This window comes from Homo sapiens, chromosome 9, assembly GCF_000001405.40.
Source record: "Homo sapiens chromosome 9, GRCh38.p14 Primary Assembly".
In the NCBI taxonomy this organism is placed as follows: domain Eukaryota; kingdom Metazoa; phylum Chordata; class Mammalia; order Primates; family Hominidae; genus Homo; species Homo sapiens.
In genome coordinates, this window is record NC_000009.12 from 13,815,063 (window position 1) to 13,836,941 (window position 21,879).

The window sequence follows — 21,879 nt, forward strand, 5'->3', positions numbered from 1 at the left end:
GGAAGTGAACTCAGGGGGAACTTATTTTCTCATGTTATATCTCCTGGCAAATAGTAGTATCCTCATTACTGTCTCCACACCTTTCTTCTTACCTCTTCTCCCACTTGGAATGTCTTCTCTCCTGTCCCTCCCACACACACCTATTCCTCCAAGACTTGCCTAACTCACAAACGCCCACATTGATTTCTTACTTCTCTGAATTTCCTTTGGAACTTATTACCTATGAAGTACATTTTGTCATGTGAACACAGTCTTATATTTTCATTGTTTCATTTGAGTAAGTTTTATCTCCACATGAAGATAAGATTTTTTTTTTATAAGATAAAAGAGGTTATTTTCTTCATCACAGTTACCACAGACCTGGGTGTTTAGTCACATGCTGGGAAAAGCTGGCACTTAATAATCCCTGTTGATTAATTAACATCATTAACAATCATCAATGTCTTTCTATTCGACAATAAGCCTTATGAAATTTTCCCACTTATTTTGTTTCCAATCCAGGAGTGAATCAGGGAGCCCAGCCCTGCTTGAGAAATAGATCTTTTGAAGACAGCTGTGCTACTTTTAATCCAAGCATCAAGCCTGGAAAATCCACTCATTTAGCAAACACTTATTAGGGTAAATTATGTGCTAAACCCCCTCCAATCCCATTACCACTCTCAGACTCCTACCCACCTGCCCTAAATGTTCACAGTCATGATGATTGGCAGGTTCCCTTGAAGCAGGGCCTGGACAGGGACTCTTGTGTTAGTGTTCTCAGGGGAAGAGAAGTGAGGGCAGCAGGATAAGGCAAAACAAGCTAAGCATGCATGTGGCCCAGCTAGAAACTAACTGTAGCCTGGCCCCACAGGGAGCTCTGGAGCATGAATTTCACTTCAGAATTGGCCCTACCTTGAGACAAGGGCTGACTTTTGTCTTCCCTTAATCAATGGCTATAAGCTGGTAATGTATACTAAAGGATATAGTGGCTCCTACTTAGCCAAGGGTGACTCTGTAGAAAAGGAGAATCTATAAGCTAACAGTGAACATTCTTAGAAGCTAGAGTGTTCGTGCATCAGCCTGGTAAAGGAGGTCTGGATGGGGCACCAAGAGCATCCACAACAGATGAGCACAAATATGTTGTTTATAAAGAAAATGCTCCATCCAGAGAATCTGGGAAATAATAAAGAAGAATCTTGAGTGAGAAACACAATGGAGGCCTAATTTTACAGAAGATAGGGCCTGCATGAGATGACATGAAGTATAGTTAGAAAGGTCATATATTGCTAGGGAACTGGTCCTTCTAAACAATTCTCTGTTTAGAGAACAATTACAGAAGTGTAGATAAAACAATTCTTCAAGAACGCTATTCTGTTTTTAATAAAAAAGAAAAATACGGAGATTCAGGGAGATGATTCAAGATGTGATCAATATCACGCTAAATAAAACTCTTCTAGCTTTGTAATTGACCTACTTTATTAATTACTTTATGTACGGCTAGCCTGGTTATCCTGAGCCTTCCATGACAGTATAATAGTGTGAGGGGAATCCCTAAAGCCCGGTCTTGTTTTGGTTTTAATTCCTAATAGTTTTCTATGTCTCTATCACAGAGTTCCCAGTTATCAGAAGATCAGAAGCCAAAGTTATTTTTTAATCATCTTTAAACTTTTGCTTTGGGGTTCCTTGAGAATGAATTATTCATCTCAGGTATAGAAAAATCATGTACCCAAAAATACAGACACTCCATTAGACAGAGATAGCTTTACTCGCTGCTGTGTCTACTTTTAATTCTGTCTCTCCCCTCAGTGCTCAGAACCAACTTTGACAGAAAGAGAACAGGATATTCATGGCCATTTACATTTGCCGTTGGCAAGTGACCTTCTCCTTTGGCAGAACTGGGTGGCTGTATGGTAGCATCTTTCACAATTCTGGCTAATCTTCCACTTACCAGTCTGTGTGTGCACACTGGCATGACCCAACCATCTATCCATTTCAGGGTGTGGTAGGATTATGTGTCATGGGACGAGGTTTCTCCTTAAGCTTCCTCAGGCCCCTGCATGCCAGCCAAACACTTTATAGGCTCAGAAAGAAATGTTCCGAAGTACACAGAGACAGCAGTCACTGCCCCTAAATTACAACAAAGAACATCCCATTAAAAATGTTTGTAGCTGGCTTATGGATAATGCAGAGTAATTAGCAATCAAATTGGCAATGTGATGGCACAGGATACAGAGGGAACTGTAAGACTGAAATTCACCATTAGCTGGTTTAAAAAAAGTTTTCTTAAGCTGCTCTCTAAAGTTGAAGTGTTTGTCTCAGGGATCTATGTGAAAAATCTAACAAGTAACCACAATGATTTTCATCCACCTACCTGGCAATGCAATAGGAAAAGGCAGGGATTAAATGAATGCCAAGGTCCCTTGGTATGCAGAGACATGTCTTTCTTATCTTTAAATTCAATGCCTGTGCAGCCCAAAGCCTGGTGTAAAGTAGGCATTACTATAAAAAACAGGTTCATTTCCCCTAAATTTTTAGGAACATAATGAATTATCTAGCCCTACTCTGGGTTACTAGATCTAGAAAAGCTAGTAGAAATGCCCAGTATAATTAAACTTTGCAAATGTCTACAGGAGTGTTTATATCAACCTTTCTAATTATTGACATCTTCTTCAAATATTAGAAACAAGAACCTCTCTCATAATGGAGGTTGGAATTGGTGGCCTAATTTTAGTCTTCTAATTGGACCACCATTTAGAATCTGGTTTGCTGAGAGATACTGGATGCTGCCAGATACCTGAGAATGTTAAGCACTGATATACCTTAATCAGGGAAGCAGAAGTATATCCAATATCTTACTCCCTGATCTGTCTTCATCACCAAACCCTCCACTTACACACAAAACATGAAAGAAAGGAGTTACGCAAGAGCCCTTAGAAAGAAATAAAACATTATTTAGATGACTTTCACAGTAACATTCAAGGTTATCTTAAAGAGGGAGATTGCCATTCCAATTTTGACCTCACTATTTTGAAGCTAACAGAATTCTTTGGGTTTTGTCCATTTTGCCAGTGATGATGACAGGACATACCAGAGGGGAATTCCTCACAATTTTCTCAGAGGTTAGCCAAGAAATAAACAAAAGTATCAGTCTTTTAGCTTAACTAATAATAACAACCAACACAAAATAAAAATAACAAAAATAGTACTTAGTAAAATTAGTTAGAAATTTAAAAACTTAATCTGAAAAAAATAAGACTTTATAGGAAAACAATGAATAAAGTGTAAAACTGAAACTGTGCATGGTAAATTTGTGTTTCACTAAAACTTAAATAGAAAAAACAAATGTTTTGCTTTCCATATTTTTATTTTTAAATTGGATTGCATGCATGTGTATATGGATAAAATTAAGAAGACATGAAAGTACAAAGAATAAAAAAATTAATCAAACTCACTCACTCGTATAGTTTGGCTCTGTGTCCCCACCCAAATCTCATCTTGTAGCTCCCATAATTCCCATGTGTTGTGGAGGGACGAAGTGGAAGATAACTGAATCATGGGGGTGGGTCTTTCCTGTGCTGTTCTCATGATAGTGAATAATTCCCAGGAGATCTAATGGTGGTTTGTTTTTTGTTTTTGAGACAGAATTTTGCTTTTGTCACCCAGGCTGGAGTGCAATGGCGTGACCTGGGCTCACCACAACCTCTGCCTCCTCGGTTCAAGCAATTCTCCTGCTTCAGCCTTCCAAGTAGCTGGGATTACAGGTGCCCACCACCACACCCAGCTAATTTTTGTATTTTTAATAGAGATGGGGTTTCTCCATGTTAGTCAGACTGGTCTCGAACTCCCAACCTCAGGTGATCTGCCCACCTTGGCCTCCGAAAGTGCTGGGATTATAGGTGTGAGCCACCATGCCAAGATCTAATGGTTTTAAAAACAGGAGTTTCCCTACACAAGCTCTCTTTATTTTTGCCTGCTGCCATCCATGTAAGATGTAACTTGCTCCTCCTTGCCTTCTGCCATGATCGTGAGGCCTCCCCAGCCACACGGAACTATAAGTCCTTTAAATGCCTTTTCCTGTATAAATTACCCAGTCTCAGGTATGTGTTTATCAGAAGCATGAAAACAGACTAACACACTCACTATCTTGCCCCCAGACACCCATTTTTCCTCACAGGAAACAGCAACTACACTATTAGCAGGTTCCTGTGTACCTTCCAAAGATAAATTTTAATAGAATCCCAGAAGTATAATTGTTGTGTCAAAGGGAGTGTTCATCCTAAATTTTAATCAATTTGGATTAATTGCCTATAGAAATTGAACTAGTTTACATTCCCACGAGCAGTGAATGAGTGTGTTGATTCCCAACACTCTTGTCAATGTTTTCATCTTCATGAAGTTTATAGGTGAAATTCTCTTACTGTAAATGACGTTGATCAGCTTTTCATATGTTTACAAACCATATAAATTTCCTTTTATGTGAACTGGCTACCTAGTTGTCTCAGGACCATTTATCAGTTACTCTAGAATTTTAAATGCCACGTTGAATACATACTAAATTATTTTATGTATTTTGGGTTTATAGATTTTGTGTTCCCTAATTGATTTATAGTTGTATTCCAGGACTATGCTGTTTTAATTATTATAGATATATAAGTTTTAATATCTGATAGGTGTAGAACCCTCTCATTTTCATTTTCAGCATTATTTCAGGAAAAATAATATTCAGGGACTTTAGAATCAAGTTGTCTAGTTAAAACATAACCCATCTATTGATCATCTATCTTTTTAGTATTTCTATGAGGAAAAAAATCTTGAGGAAATTTAGACCTGCATTGTTAAATTAGATAAAGATGACAACTGAAATAAAGACAAAATTCATAATTTTGCTTACCGTGCCTGGTAAAAGTTGATACGTGCCTCATTCTTGTAAAATTTCCTATGACATTATCTTAATACATTTCATTAAAATAGATTTTAATAAATTTTGAAAGTAGCTTAATGTCACATGAAGGGAAATTGATAAGATATTTGGTTAGCTAAATATAGGTTCTTCTAAAAATCATTTTAATAACAAAAACTGATTATCATTAGTATAATTCTTAATAAAATAGACAATGAAACTATTTTGGGGGAAAAAATGAGGAAAATAATGTTCCAACATGTAAAAATGATACAGTTACAATCTCTCCCACTAAGTTGAAGAATATATTTTGGTGGAAGTTTAGAGACTGATATAGTATAGATGTCTGTCCCCTCCAAATCTCATGTTGAAATGTGATTTCATTGTTGGAGGTGGGGCCTAGTTAGAGAATTTTCAGTCCTGGGGTTAAGTCCCTCATGAATGACCAGGTAGCCTCCCTGTAGTAATGAATTCACATGAGTTCTGGTTGTTAAAAAGAATCTGGCACCTCTCCTCTCACTCTCTTGCTCCTTTTCTTGTCATGTGTGTGCCAGTTCCCCCTTCACCCTTCAGCACGATTGTAAGCTTCCTGAGGCCTCACCGGATGCAGATGGTGGTACTATGCTTCTTGAACAGCCTGCAGAACTGGGAGCCTAATAAACCTCTTTTATTTATAAATTACCCAATCTCAGGCATTCCTTTAAAGCAATGCAAAATGGACCAACACAGAAAATTGATACCAGGAGTGGAGAGTTGCTATAAAGATGCCTAAAATGTGGAAGCAGCTTTGTAACTGGGTAATGAGCAGACATTGGAAGAGCTGGAGGTCTCAAAAGAAGACAGGAAGACAAGGGAGAGCTTAGACCTTCTTAGAAAATTGTTAAGTGTTGTGACCAAAACACTGATAGAAATGCGGACAGTGAAGTCCAGGCCAATGAGATCTCGGATGGAATTGAGGAAGTTATTGGGAGCTGGAGCAAAGGTCACCCGTGTTATGCCCTAGCAAAGAACTTGGCTACATTTTGTCCACACCCTACAACTTTGTGGAAGGCTGAACTTAAGAATGATGATCTAGGGTATCTGGTAGGAGAAATTTCTAAGCAGTAAAACATTCAAGAGGCGTTGAGGCTGTTTCCAACAACCTATTATCAGCTACAGGAGCAAATAAATGACTTAAAGTTAGAACTTATATTTAAAAGGAAAGCAGAGGATTAAACTGTGGAAAATTTGTAGGCTGGCCATGTGGTAGAAAAGGAAAGTGCATTTTCAGGGGAAGATTCCAAACAGACTGCAGAGCAACCACTTGCTAGAGAGATGAGCACAACTAAAAGAGAGCCAAGTGCTAATAGCCAAGGCAATGGGAAAAAGGGCTCAAAGGCATTTCAGAAGCCTTCAAGGCTGAGTCTCCCATCATAGGCCTAGAGGCAGGAAGGAATAGTTTCAGGGACCAAGCCTTGGCACCATTTCCCCCTGCCACCTGGGAGGCTGCTCCCACTACCCTTCTGCCACTCCAGGTCCAGCCATGGTGCAAAGGGCCCCAGCTATGGCTCAGACTGCTGTTTTGGAGAACTCAAGCCACCATAAGCTCTAGTGGTTTCCATGTGGTGTTAAGCCTGCGAGCACACAGAATGCAAGACTGAAGGAGGCTTGGCAGCTTCTACCTAGATTTCAGAGGGTGTGTGGGAAAGCCAGGATTTCCAGGAAGAAGCCTTCTTTGGGGACACAGCACCAGCAGAGAGACTCATGTAGGGCAGTACTGAGGGGAAATGTGGGATTTGAGCCCCCACACAGAGTTCCCATTGGGCAGTTGCCTAGTGGATTTGTGGGAAGGGGGCCACTGCCCTCCAGACCAAAGAATGGTAGAGCCACTGGCAGCTTGCCCTCTGAGCCTGGAAAAGCTGCAGGTGACACTCATCCCCAACCTGTGAGAGCAGTCATGGGGGCTGTACTCTGCAAAGCCACAAGGGTGGAGTTGCTCAAGGTCTTGGGAGCTCGACCCTTGCACCAATGTGCCCTGGATGTGGGACATGAAGTCAAAGATTATTTTGGAGATTTATTGTCTGATCTGCCATTTTGAACTTTTGTAGAATCGATTGCCTCCTTTTTTGGGCTGATTTCTTCCTTTTGGAATGGGAATGTTTACCTAATGCCTGTACCACCATTGTGTCTTGGAATTAAATAACTTGTTTTTAATCTTACAGGCTCATAGATGGAAGAAACTTGCCTTGAGTCTCAAATGAGATTTTGGACTTTGGACTTTTGATTGCGTTGATGCTAAAAATGAGTTAAGACCTTTGGGACCACTGGGAAAGGATGATTATAATTTGCAATGTGAGGAGGCATGAGATTTAGGGAGCCAGGGGTGAAATGATATAGTTTGAACATTTTCCCCTACAAACCTCATGTTGAAATGTGATCCCCAGTGCTGGAGGTGGGGCCTAGTGGGAGGTGTTTGGATCATGGGGATAGATCCCCTCATAAATGGCTTGATGCCTTCCCCATAGTGATGAGTTCATGCAAGATTTGGTTGTTAAAGGAAGTCTTGGACCCTCCCCCTTCCTCTCTTGCTCCCTTGTTTACCATGTGATACACCGGCTCCCCCTTTACTTTCTGCCATGATTGTTAGCTTCTTGATGCCTTACCACAAGCAGATGCTGGCACTATGTTCCCTTTACAGCTTGCAGAACTGTGAGCCAAATAAACCTCCTTTCTTTATGAATTACCCAATCTCAGGTATTGTTTTATAGAAACACAGAATGAACGAATGCAGAGACTAAAGTAAAATACTATTCTGTTGGCAATTATTTAGAATTTCAATTTCCTTTGTGTATTAACAAAACATTTCTAAACATCTTTATTTCAGTAAATCTAATAAAAATATATATCAGTATAAAACAAATTTTGTTTACGTTTTCTGAATTACAGTATTTTATAAAATAATCCAGCTATTTCAGTGGTGATCTCCTAGCTGATTACCATTATATAGGGAAAAGAATCCTGAAGTTAGAGTCAGAAGACCTGGCTTTGAATTCTTATTTTACTTTTTGCCATACAGCACAGATTTGGGGTTTTCTCAATCATTCAGACCCTGAGGAAGGAGATAATGAAATTCTTGTGAGAATTATATAACATCATGGTATAAAACTCTACTCAACACAGAAAAGTTGTTCAGAATGTTTACTGAATAAAGCAATGAGTGAATAAAGAAAGGAATGAATAAAACCTTTGATTTACATCAGCAAGGCATGAACTTCTTGCACTGGCTCACACTTTTGCCTCACCACAGCTGGTACAGTTTAGTAACTGTAAAAGAATCCAGCCAGTTGGCCAGTTCCAGAAGTTACAGCTAAGATTGTGAATGCAAGAAAAATTAACTTACACACTTTTTAAACTCTAATTTTTCCTTCATTAACATAATTTTCTAATCAACTAGGTTAATCTAGACTGAGAAACTTTTTATTAAAGTATAAATAATTCTCAGTGGTAAACTGAGATCATTCACCTCTGACACTGAACTCAATTGCTTTTAGACTAACACTGAATTTCATGACTGTGGACTGGCCCTATAAAGTTTATAAAATATTAATAAGGTATTTGTTAAAGAAATTAATACAAAGTTTTTATTTTATAGGTTCTTGGGATAAGGTTCACTTTAACAAATTTTAGGGGTCTTTTTGGATTTCACATTTTAGTGCATCAAATGCATATGATTTCAAATTGGCAATAACAGGGCTCTGACTAGGAAATCACCTACCCAAAGACCCTATTTCCTAATATAATCACCTTGGGAGTTAAGATTTCAATAAGAATTTGGGGGAGATGAAAACATTCAAACCATAGCACTAAGGTTACACTGCCCAATATAACAGGTTTAGAATAACCCGGATCATTCTAGACTCTAATTCCTGATGAGAGTGGAGCACCTGGGCTACTTCCAGTCCTAATCAGCTCTGCACTAGAGAGCCACGGGGCTGTCGAACATACAACTAAGCATTTATTACCCGGAAAGGCAGAGACAGACATCGAGAATTTTTTTTCCAACTAAAGACTTCATCACTGGGGCTTTACTAATCCATTCTTCACCTTCTTGCACCTTATTTCCTGCAGGACACACAGATTTTAAAGGAAGAGTAAAAACCAGTGATTATGTTTCTGTACTAGATATCTGAGAGGTTTCTATGTTAAGATGGAAGGCTGAAATGTGCCTCTCCTATTGCTTCATCTAAAACTTCACTGAAGGATTTGTTTAAAGACACATCTCAAGGACGGGGAGAACAAGAGAGCACACACAGCAACCAAATTTTATAACTGGAATCAGGCGGTCCAGTGGCCCCTGACTTAGCCAACACAAGAGTGCCAAACCCTGAGCTGACAGTGGAGAAAGCAGAGGACCAGTGTCATTCCTGCCGCCCAACAATCTTCAAAAGGTACAGGATATAGAAGCAGAAGGGATCTCTGAATCTAGAAGTGAACAGTCAGAAAGGGCTAAAATAACAACTTTCTGAAAGCTGTTTGAGAGCTAATAAGAGGTTAGTAGAACTAGCTCAGCAAGAAGTTAGCATTCATGAAAATTCTTTAAAAAATACCTCCTCAAACAGATACATTGCAAAATAAATACATTACAAAATAAATACACTGCAAAATAAACCCCTTCTATTGCCTACTTCTTGGGGAAAATTTCTAGGCTGAACTTCGGCACACCCTCCAACCCCCATCTTGTTGCCATTCTACCAGGTTTGTGCAGTACAAAAACTGTACAGCTTTATAGCCATGTGCAAGAACCTTGAGTCCCTGTATCCCCTCCCAATCTATCTGACTATGAAACTGTCCCTCCTTCACCCTGGCAGGGACACATTCATAATTGCATCAACTTTGCCAGAATAGAGTCTTGTAAACTCTCAGAAAGGGGTTGCCAGGGAACAACTCTGTTCAGTTCATCTTTTCTTGGGAGCCTTCATCTTATGGAGGGAATTAGGTTTGTGCTTTGTACTCCATGTGTTTATTTTAATTTTGTTTTCTATAAATACTCAAGAGTGCTTTCTAAAACAAGGACTTTCTATGACTTAATCACAGTGCATTTAACAAAATGAGAAAACTGAACATTGCTGATGCAATACTATTATCTAATACATATTCCAGATTTAAATTTTGCTTGTTGTGACAAAAAAATTTTCTTTATAAGCTTCTTTTTTTTCTGGATTGAGATCCAATACAGAATGAAGCATTGCATATCATCCTAAGAATAAATAGTATCTTGTTAGGATATCTTTACATATGGTTAAGCTATAAAGAAATTATAGAGGCTAGCACAAAAGTCTGTATACTGGTTACTTCCAGGAGGTGTTGAAGGTGCTGGGAAGGAGGGATGTGCAGGCATCTTCAAAGGTACCAAGAACAATTTATTTCTTGGGTGATAGTTTCACAAGCGTTCATTTTATCATTATTCTTCAACTAATACATATTCATTTTTATACTTTTTAATAAATAGTACATTTTATATTTTGTTTTCTTTTTAAGAGGTATAATTTAAGGGTCTGCTTTAGGCACAAAATAGTGTTACTTTTAGTTAAATGGGCTCATATTACTCAGCTTGATCCAAGTTAAAAATTTGATATGTTCTTAAGCGTCATCTTGGTGTCAAGAATGAAATATGGTGTTTCTGAAACAGCGTAGGACTGAGTTAACCTCGGTTCTACTACTGGCTAGCTTGGAACTGTGAGCCTCCTTTTGCTAATCTGAAAAATTATGACATTAATTACTTCAAAGCTTTAGTAAAGATTAGAAGAGATAATTGCATATAGCGTTAAGATACCTCATTCATACTATGTTATTTTAAAAACATACTTTTCCTCTCCCTACTTTGCCATTCTGTCTCGATGCATCAGCAAACAAGTTTAACATGTGGTTATAAGGTTTTATTTTTAGCTAAATTTTATTATTAGTTGTTCTTTATTTCCCATGACAATGACTTTTTTCACTCTCTAAGTTGTTTAGGAAATAAAATCTTTGTATACGGAGGTAAAATTCTGGTTCTTTTTCGTCATAATAGCTTTTCCTGAATTTTATGCTCTATTTCTCTCAAAGTTGCATTCAAAGCATAATGAATCTCTTGGCCTTGCTATACATATTTTCTGAGTTGTTTTACTTTTAGTATTGGTTCCAGAGTCAGTTTCTAGCTTTTTGAATTTATACTAAACTATTAAGTGGGGAGGTTCCCATTTTTTATTTTTGAAAGTAGGTATTTGTGAAAGAATGTAATTATCTCTGCCATGAAAGTCCTGTAGAACTCACTCCTAAAACTGGACACCCTTTTTGTACTTGTTTGTGTGTGTGTCGGTGTGTGTGTATATAGTTGGAATTTGTAGATTTTCAACTACTGGTTCAATTACTTTAATGTTTGTATATTTATTCATTATTCTGTTTTATATGAGGGTATCCATTTTGTCCAAATTTTTAGAATATTAACATAAAATTTTAAGCATACTACCATTTGTTTGAAAAACCTTCTTTTAGTAATTTAGCTGTTTTGTCCCTACCATTTGTTAATCTCTCTTTTCATTCAATCTTCTCCAATTTATCTATTCTAGCAGATTTTGAAAGAATTGAATGTTGATTTTTAATTAATATTATCAAAGAGCACAGTTAGTATGATACCAGTTTTCTGAAATTTGTTGATACTTGCTTTGTGGCCCGGTGTGTAATCAATTTTCACAACTATCTCCTATGTGATTGAGAAAAAACATTTATTCTTCAATTGTTATGCAGTTGCTCCTCAATATACATGGGAAATTAGTTCCAGGACACCCCCACGTATACCAGAATCCATGCCTACTCCAGTCCAGAATTCAGCCCTACAGAGCCCACATATACAAAAAGTCAGCCATTGGTTTACTCAAGTTTCACATCCTGTGGACACTGCATTTTTAATCCACCTTTAGCTGAAAAAAATCCACATGTAAGTAAATGCACACAGTTCACACCTGTGTTGTTCAAGGGCCAGCAGTATATGACTATCAGATCAAGCTTCTTAGTTGTATTTTTCCATATTTTTGTTTTTATTTTTTTTTACTTTTTAGTTTTACCTACCAATTAGTAGGATACAGGCCTCAAATTCTCTCAATTTAATTGTGAACTTGACAATCTCTTTGTAATTCTCCAATTTTTGTTTTAGATATTTTGAGCCTACGTTATTCATTAATTTTTAAAATACAACGTGAAAATCTGTGTGTTGTTATATTTATTGTGATTAGGACATTTGGATTTAATTTTTTCATCTTATTTTGCAGTTTCTACCTAGCCTCTTTGTACATGCTTTTTTTTTCTTCATCTTGTGCCTCATTTTGAATTCACTGGCATGTTTATTACATATTTCCCTCTAGCACATTAAAAGTATTATCAAATACTTCTATTATTTTAGGAGTTACCTTAAAATTTCAACATGCATTCTCACATAACACAAACTAAAGTTAAGCTCACTGTCTCTTCCCAAATGATCAAAAGCTCTCAGAACACTTAATTACTCCCTTTTGCATTCTAATCCAGATTTTTCATTATAATGTTTTTTTCACAATTGGTCACTGTGATGGTCTTAGTTGTTTTATCCAGCCAATGTTTGATCACATTTACTTATATGATTTCCCAATCTATTTGTTCATTACTCCATTTTGCATCTCTGTCCTTCCTTGTGGATTCAGTTCTCTTCATCCCGAAGTTTGCTGTATATCCTACAATGTTCCTTTTGTTCCTTTAGTACATGTCTGTTGGTATTAAATGCTCAATTTTTCTTTGTCCAGAAATGCTGTGTTTCAACTTGTTTGTCAGTAATAGTTATGCTGGAATTAAATTTTCCTTGATGGATCTTTGAAAATACTATTATACTGTTTTCTGGTTTCTATTGTTGCTACTCAAAAGTCTGTTTTCAGTCAGTTATTCCTTTGTAGGTAATTCGTCTTTTCTTCCTAAGTTGTCTCAAACATTTCTTTATCTCTCGTATTCTGCAGTTGTATTTATCCTGCTTGGAGTTCTTCCACCTTCTAAATTTAACGATTTAAATCTTTCATTAATTCTAAAAACCTTCAACCATTATCCCTTTGAATATTACCACTCCTGGACTCTGTACTCTTTTGTTCTAAATTCTCACTGAATATATATTAGACTTTCTCATTCTTTTCTCCATCTCTTATTCTTTCTGTCATTTTTCCATCATTCTGCCTCTGTCTGTGTATCATTATCGGTGATTTATTCAGATCTAATTTGCAGTTCACAAATTCTCTCTTTAGCTATGACCAATTTACTGCTTAAACTCTCCATCAGACTTTTCATTTTTGTGATATTTTCCTTTACTTTTGTATTTTTTATCCAAATATGCCCATTATGTTTGCCTGTCATTTTTGATAGTACCTTGTTTCTTTTTCATGTCATTAGCTCTAGTTTCTATTTCCATCAACATTTTGTCCATATATATGTAACATTTTGAAATTAATAATTCTAGTATCTGAAATCTTGGGTGTCGATTATTGAAATTTACAGATTCTGCTGACTCTTGTTCATGATGGCTTGTACCCATTTGTGTTTTATAATTTCTGTTAGTGAGTTTTTATTCATGGGGCCTTATCTGTAGTAATCTTTACCATACTAAGTTAAGGGCTCTTACTTCCAAGAAAGGCTTTTTGTTTGGTTTCCCCAAATGTCTGAGGGGCACTGCAACTGAGGACCTCTTTATGTTAATGCCTTGGGCTTGACTTTGCAGAAACCTTACAAGTGGTGTGGTGAGCTTTTTTCAGCTATCCAGATCTCTGACCAGGACAGATCAATTTTTTAATCTCCCTTTGCCAGAAAGAATTTTCAAAGCCTACCCTTACACTGAGTGAGATTCTGGCATTATACAGGAGGGTCTTGACTCTTCATTGCTCAGCCTAAGGTTTACTTTCTATCCCCAAAAGACTCTTTAAAGATAGATTCTTGGTTACCAAGATTGGCTAATTCCCTTTGAGTACCTGCAGATTTATGGCCTAGTTACTAGTCTAGTTTCATATTTTTTGTGACTTTGACCCTCAAAAATCTTGTTTTACTTTCTATAGGCTTAGCTGTGCACTTGAGAAAATATTTCTTATACTTTATTATTTATTTCTAGGCATTTTCAGATCATCTTAATAGTCATATTGTAGCAAATATAAACTTTTAATCATTTTCTTAACTCTCCGTTCCAAACCCCATTCTGTGGTAGTCTTATTCTTTTTCATGCCCCACTAACCCATCCCAGGTACAGCAGTAGCCACCACAGCAGGAACAATCATCTTCCCATAAAGGATCATCACATTCCTCTTAGGGTCCACTTCTCTACACTCTGACCTAAAACATTTCTTTACTGAGACAACAAGTCTTGATGATAGTACAGCTCCAACTCATCTGCATTTCATTTATTTCCCAAGATTCTTGTCAGCCTGCGGATGTTCTCAAATTCACAGACGAATGTGGGGAAAAGGGGGAGGAGGGCAGCAGTGTTGACGACCTTCAGAATAGACTTTAATGAGAATTCTTTTTTTTCAATCCTGCTTCATGTCTGCTAAGATATATGGGGATGAAGAAAAGTAATAAATTCTCTCAATTGTAACCAAACAAGTACAGTCATGGGTCACTTGACGACGGGGATACATTCTGAGAAATGCATCATTAGGTGATTTAGTTGCTGTGTGACATCATAGAGTGTATTTACGCAAACGTAGATGGTATAGATTACTACACACCTAGGCTCTATGGCATACCCCATTGCTCCTATGCGATAAACCTATACAGCATGTAACTGTGCTGAATACTGTAGGCAATTGTAATAAAATGGTATTTGTATATCTAAACACAGAAAAGGTAGAGTAAAAATATGGTATAAAAATATAAAATGGCACACTTGTATAGGGCACCCTTACCATGAATGGAGCTTGCAGGACTGAAAGCTGCTCTGGGTGAGTCAGTGAGTGAGTGGTAAGTGAACGTGAATATCTACTACACTACTGTAGACTTTATAAACATTACACTTAGGCTACATGAAATTTACACTAAAAATGTTCTTTCTTTAATAAAAAATTAAACTTAGCTTACTATAATTTTTTTTACCTTATAAGCCTTTTTAACTTTTTGACTGTTTTGTAATAACTTAGTTTTAAAACACAAACACATTGTTCCGTGTACAGAAAATGTCTTTTCTTTGTATTCTTATTCTATAGGCTTTTTACTATTTTTAAATTTTTATTTTTTTACTTTTTAAACCTTCTTGTTAAAAACTAAGACAGAAACACACACATTAGCCTAGGCCTACACAGGGTCATGATCATCAATATTACTGTCTTCCACCCCCATATCTTGTCCCACTGAAATGTCTTCAGGGGCAAGAACATGCACAGAGCTGTCATCTCCTATAACAACAACGTATTCTGAAATGTCTTCTGAAAGACCAACCTATGGCTGTTTTACAGTAAATTTCTTAAAAATAAGTAGATGGGGGACACTCTAAAATAATGGTAAAAAGTATAGTAAGTAAATACTAAACCAGTAACACAGACGTTCATCATCATTCTCAAGTATTATGTACTGTGCTTAATGGTATTGCCAGACTTGTATACTACTGGCAGCAGAGTAGATCTGTTTACACCAGTATCACCACAAATACATGAGTAATGCATTGTGCTATGATGTTATGACATCACTAGACAACAGGACACTTTCAACTCCATTATAATCTTATGGGATCACTGTTATATATGCAGTCTGCCATTGACCGAAACAGCATTATGTGGCACACGAGTGCACTTCAAAAAGAAGTGCTTGAGTTATGATTTAAACAGATAACATATAAAATGGAACTTTAAAATAAACATACATTCTAAAACCTTATCATAGACCCTCAAGAGCTCTTTTAAAAATCTAATCACGGAGGAAAGAAAATTAACATTAACATACATAATTTTCCTTACATGGACATGAAGATGGAAAGAATAGACACTGGGGACTCCAAAAGCAGAGAGGCAGGGAAGGGGACAAGGGTTGAAAAAATACCTATTGGATACTATGTTCACTATTTGGGCATAGGTTCAATTGAAGCCCAAACCTCGGCATCAACAATATATCCACGTAACAAACCTGCACATGTATGCCCTGAATCTAAAAATAAAATAAGATAAAACATGTGTTTTTCCTGACAGCTTGTCTCCAAATTCACTGTCAGTATTCTCTCAAAGGCCAGGTGTGGTGGCTCATGCCTGTAATCCTAGCACTATGGGAGACTAAATTGGGAGGATCCCTTGAGGCTAGAAGCTCAAGACCAGCCTGGGCAGCATAGTGAGACTCCATCTCTTAAAAAAAAAAAAAATTAAGTTAGCCAGGCACAGTGGAGCATATCTGTAGTCCTAGCTACTTGGGAGGCTGAAGGAAGAGAATTGCTTGATCTCAGAAGTTCATAGTTACAGTGAGCTATGATGTGCCATTGTACTCCAGCCTGAATGACAGAATGAGACCTTGTCTCTAAGAAATATGTATCTATATCTATCTAGCTAGCTATCTAATCTATCCTCTCAAAATTTTGGTTTTAAAAATTTGGGAAAGACCTGATGAATCTCCAGTACAGCATTAGTTTTGAAATTTACACAAATATATAGGAAATATCCTTCCTGAGGTGTACAAACATATATGAATGTTAGCAACATAAGAATGGTCACCCCAAGTATGTAACACAATATATATGTGTTCTTTCGTACAGACTGTAGTCACACCTGGATTCTTTCATACAAATTTACTCCAAACTCTTAAATCCATGCCATAAATTAACAATGAATGACTAGCTAATGAATTTTCAACACAAGGACTAAAAGGAATTCCTATCAGTTCTTTCAAACATGCAAACCAGTAAACCTTAACACCTGTCAAGAATCATAGGTCTTGCCAGGGAAAAGGAGCAACATATTTAATTAAGCACACCCCTCTCCAAAAATGTTTCCTACTCAAATAAGGGTAGAACAGTACTTTATTCCCAGAGAAGCTTCTAGAAAGAGTTAACTACATTTGTTCTCTTCTTCTTCAACTCCTACTCAGTTCTCCACCCAAAACTATAGTTTCTGCCTTCAATATTTCACTGACACTGCCCTGGGTAAGGCCAACACCAACCTTTGTTTTTGCCAAATCCAGTGAACATATTTCCATACTCATTTGTGATTATTTGCCCACCTGATTTTCATAATACTTCCCTCTCCTTCTCTTTCTAAACAAATCTCCTTTCTGTCTCTCCCTTAAATGCTGCTGCTTTCCTGGGTACTGACTTCTTTCATTCTCAAACTACATCATCTAGCTGAGAAATCTAATGCAAACCTAGCGTTTTAACTAAGACTTTCATATTGATGCTCACTAAATTTCTACCTGTAGCTAACATTTTTTTCTTGAAATCAAGACCTGCCCTCTGGATACTTTTCTTTATATGTCTGATAAGTACTTCAGGCTGTACAAGACCCAAAATGAGTTCATTATCTAGTCTGCTATACCACCTCATCCTGAATCCTTGAACTCTGTGTCTGAAAGTCAACAGGAACATTATCCTACCACCCATCAAGTGAGACATTTAAAGGAGAATCCACCTGTTTTACTCTCTAGAGGCAATTACTCATTGGAGCCTACCAATCCTAGCTCTGTAACATCATTTCCTCTCAACCATTATTTCTGCTGTCATGACTTAGGAACTCATTATATCTCCTATTGACTCTTGCAGCACCCATCTGATTCATCTTCATACCTCTAGCTTTGTACACCTACCTTTCACCAGTCTAACCTCTCTACTGCTGTCAGGGTGGTCCTTCTAACATGCAAATCTGAACACATCACTCCTCTGCTTAAAATTCTTCAGTAGTTCCCAAGTCATGTTTCCCAAACTTTTCTTTCCCCTAGAGGTTCTGATTCATTAGATCAGAGCTAGGACTTTAAGGTCCTATATTTTAATGAGAGCCCCAGGCGATTCTTATAATTAGGCAAGGCAACCTTGATCTAAATAATTAAGTCTCAACTTTTTGCATAGCATGTAAGTCCAGCCTCATCATTCCTGCCTGTTTTCCCCAGAACCCCTCGATACATACACTGAAGTTAACATTTAACTACACTGAGTCATATATAATTCCCCTAAAGTGCCAAAATGCCATGCTGTCTTACACCTCATCACCTTTGTGTGGGCTGCTTCTGCTGCCTACAATGCAGTCTCTGGCTTATTCATTGGTCCTGCGATTTTTGGTCAAAATATTACCTCATGTATGAAGCCTTCTTGGATTTTCTCAATAAAATTTAGAGATGCCTTCTCCTGTGTACCCATGAATTTTGTGTATACCCTCATTACAGCACTTTACTCTACTCCTATCCTTCTATTATAATTATTTAGATCTACATTGAACCATTAGACTAGGGGATTTTCAGGAATAGAAAGCTTTATCTTCTTATCCATAACATTTTGCACAGATGCTAGTATTAAACATTAGAGAAATTAGCAAATAAATGACCAAAAACCGCATTAATGAAAAGTATTGGCTTGGATCCTAGCTTCATTCTGGCAAGAACTAGGTGTCTCATCAAAGAACAAGTAGCACACCCTCTCATAACCTGTTTCCTCACATATAAAAGTGACAGATTTCACACATGATTTCTTTTGGTTTATTATTTAATATTTTATTATGAAAAATTCAAACATATACAAAAGTACAAAGAATGGTATACTGAACCCTCTAGGGCACACATCTACCTTTAATCATTATAGACTCCTAGCCAATATTTTCCTCTATACCTCCACCCACTTCTCCTTCTTCAGATTATTTTAATGCAAATTCCACCTATCTATCATTTAACCCCTAAATATTTTGGCATGTATTTCCAAAAATAAAGACTACTTTAAAATCTTTAACATAATACTATAATAACACCTCGGTAGATTGAATATCAAAGGTCCTAATTCTTAACACACCCCCTCTTATTAGTATTATTCATCCATACCTTGATTTGGCATCAAATATTTCCCTACTTCTTGAATCTGAGTTTGGCCATATGATGTGTTTATGCTGTGTCCCCACCCAAATCTCATCTTGAATTGTTGCTCCCATAATCTGCACGTCACGGGAAGGAGCTAGCGGGAGGTAACTGAATCAAGGAGTGGGTTTTTCCCATGCTGTTCTCATGATAACGAATAAGTCTCATAAGATCTAATGGCTTTATAAATGGCAGTTCCCCTGCACATGCTCTCTTGCCTGCTGCCATGAAAGATGTGCCTTTGCTCTTCCTTCACCTTCCATCAAGATTGTGAGGCCTTATCAGCCATGTGGAACTGTGAGTTGATTAAACCTGTGTTTTTGTATTAATAAATTTTCCTGTCTCGGGTATTTCTTCATAGCAGTATGAAAATGGATTAATACAGTAAATTGGTACTAGGAGTGGGGTGCTGCTACTAAGATACCCCAAAATGTGGAAGCAACTTGCATCTGGGTAACAGGCGGAGGTTGGAACAGTTTGGAGGGCTCAGAAGAAGACAGGAAGATGTGGAAATGTTTGGAGCTTCCTAGAGACTTGTCGAATGGTTTTGACCAAAAAACCCAGGCTGAGGTAGTCTCAGATGGAGATGATGAACTTATTGGGAACTGGAGCAAAGGTGATTCATGTTATACTTCAGCAAAGAGACTGGCAGCATTTTGCTCCTGCCCTAGAGATCTGTGGAACTTTGAACTAGAGAGAGATGATTTAGGGTATCTGGAGGAAGAAATTTCTAAGCAGCAAAGTGTTCAAGAGGTGATTTGGGTGTTCTTAAAAGCATTCAGTTTTATTTATTCACAAAGATACGGTTTGGAATTGAAACTTATGTTTAAAAGGGAAGCAGAGCATAAAAGTTCAGAAAATTTGCAGCCTAACAACGCAATAGAAAAGAAAAACCCAATTTCTGAGGAGAAATTCAAGCCAGCTCTAGAAATTTGCAGAAGTAAAAAGGAGCCAAAGGTTAATTGCCAAGACAATAGGGAAAATGTCTCCAAAGCATGTCAAAGGTCTTCACGGCAGGCCCTCCCATCACAGCCTGGGAGGCCTAGGAGGAAATAATGATTTCTTGGGCTAGGCCCAGGGCCTTGCTGGTTTGTGAAGTCTCAGGACCTAGTAACCCGTGTCTTAGCCATGGCTAAAAGGGGCCAACATACAGCTCAGGCTGTTGCTTCAGAGGGTGCAAGCCCCAAGCCTTGGCAGCATACATGTGGTGTTGGGCCTGTGGGTGCACAGAAGTCAAGAACTGAAGTTTAGGAATCTCTGCCTAGATTTCAGAGGATGTATGGGAACACCTGGATGTCCAGACAGAGGTGTGCTGCAGGGATGGAGCCCTCATGAAGAAACTCTGCTAGGGCAGTGCAGAAGGGAAATGTGGGGTTGGAATCCCCCTAGAGTCCCAACTGGAGCACTGCCTAGTAGAGCTCTGAAGAGAAGGCCACTGTCCTCCAGACACCAGAATAGTAGATCCACCAACAGCTTGTACTGTGTGCCTGGAAAAGCCACAGACACTCAATGGCAGCTCATAAAAGCTGCCAGAAGCAGGGCTGTATTCTGCAAAGCCACAGGGTCGGAGCTGCCCAAGACCATGGTAACCCACCTCTTGCATCAGTGTAACCTGGATGTGAGACAGAGTCCAAGGAGATCATTTTGGGGTTTTAAGATTTGACTGCCCTGCTGAATTTTGGACTTGCATGGGGCCTGTAGCCCCTGAATTTTGGCCAATTTGTCCCATTTGGAATGGGTGTATTTACCCAGTGCTGTACCCCCATTGTGTCTAAGAAGTAACTAATTTGCTTTTGATTTTACTGTCTCATAGGCAGAAAGGATTTGCCTTGTCTCAGATGAGACTTTGGATGGTGGACTTTTGAGTTAATGCTGAAATGAATGAAGACTTTGGGGGACTGCTGGGAAAGCATGATTGGTTTTGAAATGTGAGGATATGAGATTTGGGAGGGGCTGGGGTGGAGTGATATGGTTTGGCTGTGTCCCCACCCAAATCTCATTTTGGATTGTAGCTCCCATAATCCCCACATGTCATGGGAGGGACCCAGTGGGAGGTAATTGAATCATGGGGTGGGGGGGGGTTCCTATGCTGTTCTCATGATAGTGAATGCATCTCCCAAGATTTGATGGGTTTATAAAGGGCAGTTCCCCTGCAAAATATACGCTCTTGTATGCCACCATGTAAGATATGCCTTTGCTCCTTCTTCACCTTCTGCCATGAACTGTAAGCCCATTAAACCTCTTTTTTAAAATAAATTACCCAGTCTTGATTATTTCTTCATAGCAGTATGAAAATGGACTAATATATGTGAATTGCTTTCATCACAGGGTTGTTAGTGGACATCATCCGAGCAAAACTTGAAAAGTGCTTATATGACTGGGCTTACCTGTACATGTTCCTGCTTTTACATGAGAGGCACATGCCTCCAATATAACCACTGGTCCAAGAAAGATAGGAAATACATGGAGAAAACCTGGTTTCTATCTGAAGTTTGGAGCCACCCCAACAAAAAAAAGCCTGAAGAAGGGGCACTCCAAGCCACTCAAAAACACATGAGCAAGAAATAAATGCCTATTGCTGATGCCACTGATATGTTATGGTTGTTTGTTATTATGCTGAAAAAACAGACAATAAAAATTAACAATAATTCCTTAATATCAAATACACAGAATGTTAACTAAATGATTTTTTATGTACAGTTATTTATAGGTTTAGAGGTAAAATTTGCATATGATGAAATGCATAAATTCTAAGTATATCATTTATTGAGCTTTGACAAATGATATACAACTATGTAACCCCAAACCCTGTCAAGATACAGAACATTACATCTCTAGAGAAAGTTCCCTCAGGTCCCATCCAAATCTATTCTCACCCACCACTCACCCCCTCAGGCAAACACTGTTTTTGTTTTCTATACCACTAGAGATTAGTTTTGCCTGCTTGAGTACTTTGT

The 21,879-nt window shown here is 37.9% G+C and overlaps 2 long non-coding RNA genes across 3 annotated transcripts in view; one reads left to right on the forward strand and one right to left on the reverse strand.

Moving 5' to 3' along the window:
* Positions 1 to 1,160: 1,160 nt before the first annotated feature.
* Positions 1,161 to 21,879, reverse strand: part of LOC101929507 (uncharacterized) — a 203,870-nt gene continuing 183,151 nt past the window's right edge. For both annotated transcript variants that reach the window (XR_001746621.2, XR_001746620.2), the window contains one exon: positions 1,161 to 2,106. This is a non-coding gene — a long non-coding RNA (uncharacterized LOC101929507). The remainder of the gene's footprint in view (positions 2,107 to 21,879) is intronic.
* On the forward strand, positions 14,818 to 21,513 carry LOC124902326 (uncharacterized). Its single transcript, XR_007061894.1, has 2 exons — positions 14,818 to 14,857; positions 21,251 to 21,513. It is a non-coding gene; the product is annotated as an uncharacterized LOC124902326 (long non-coding RNA).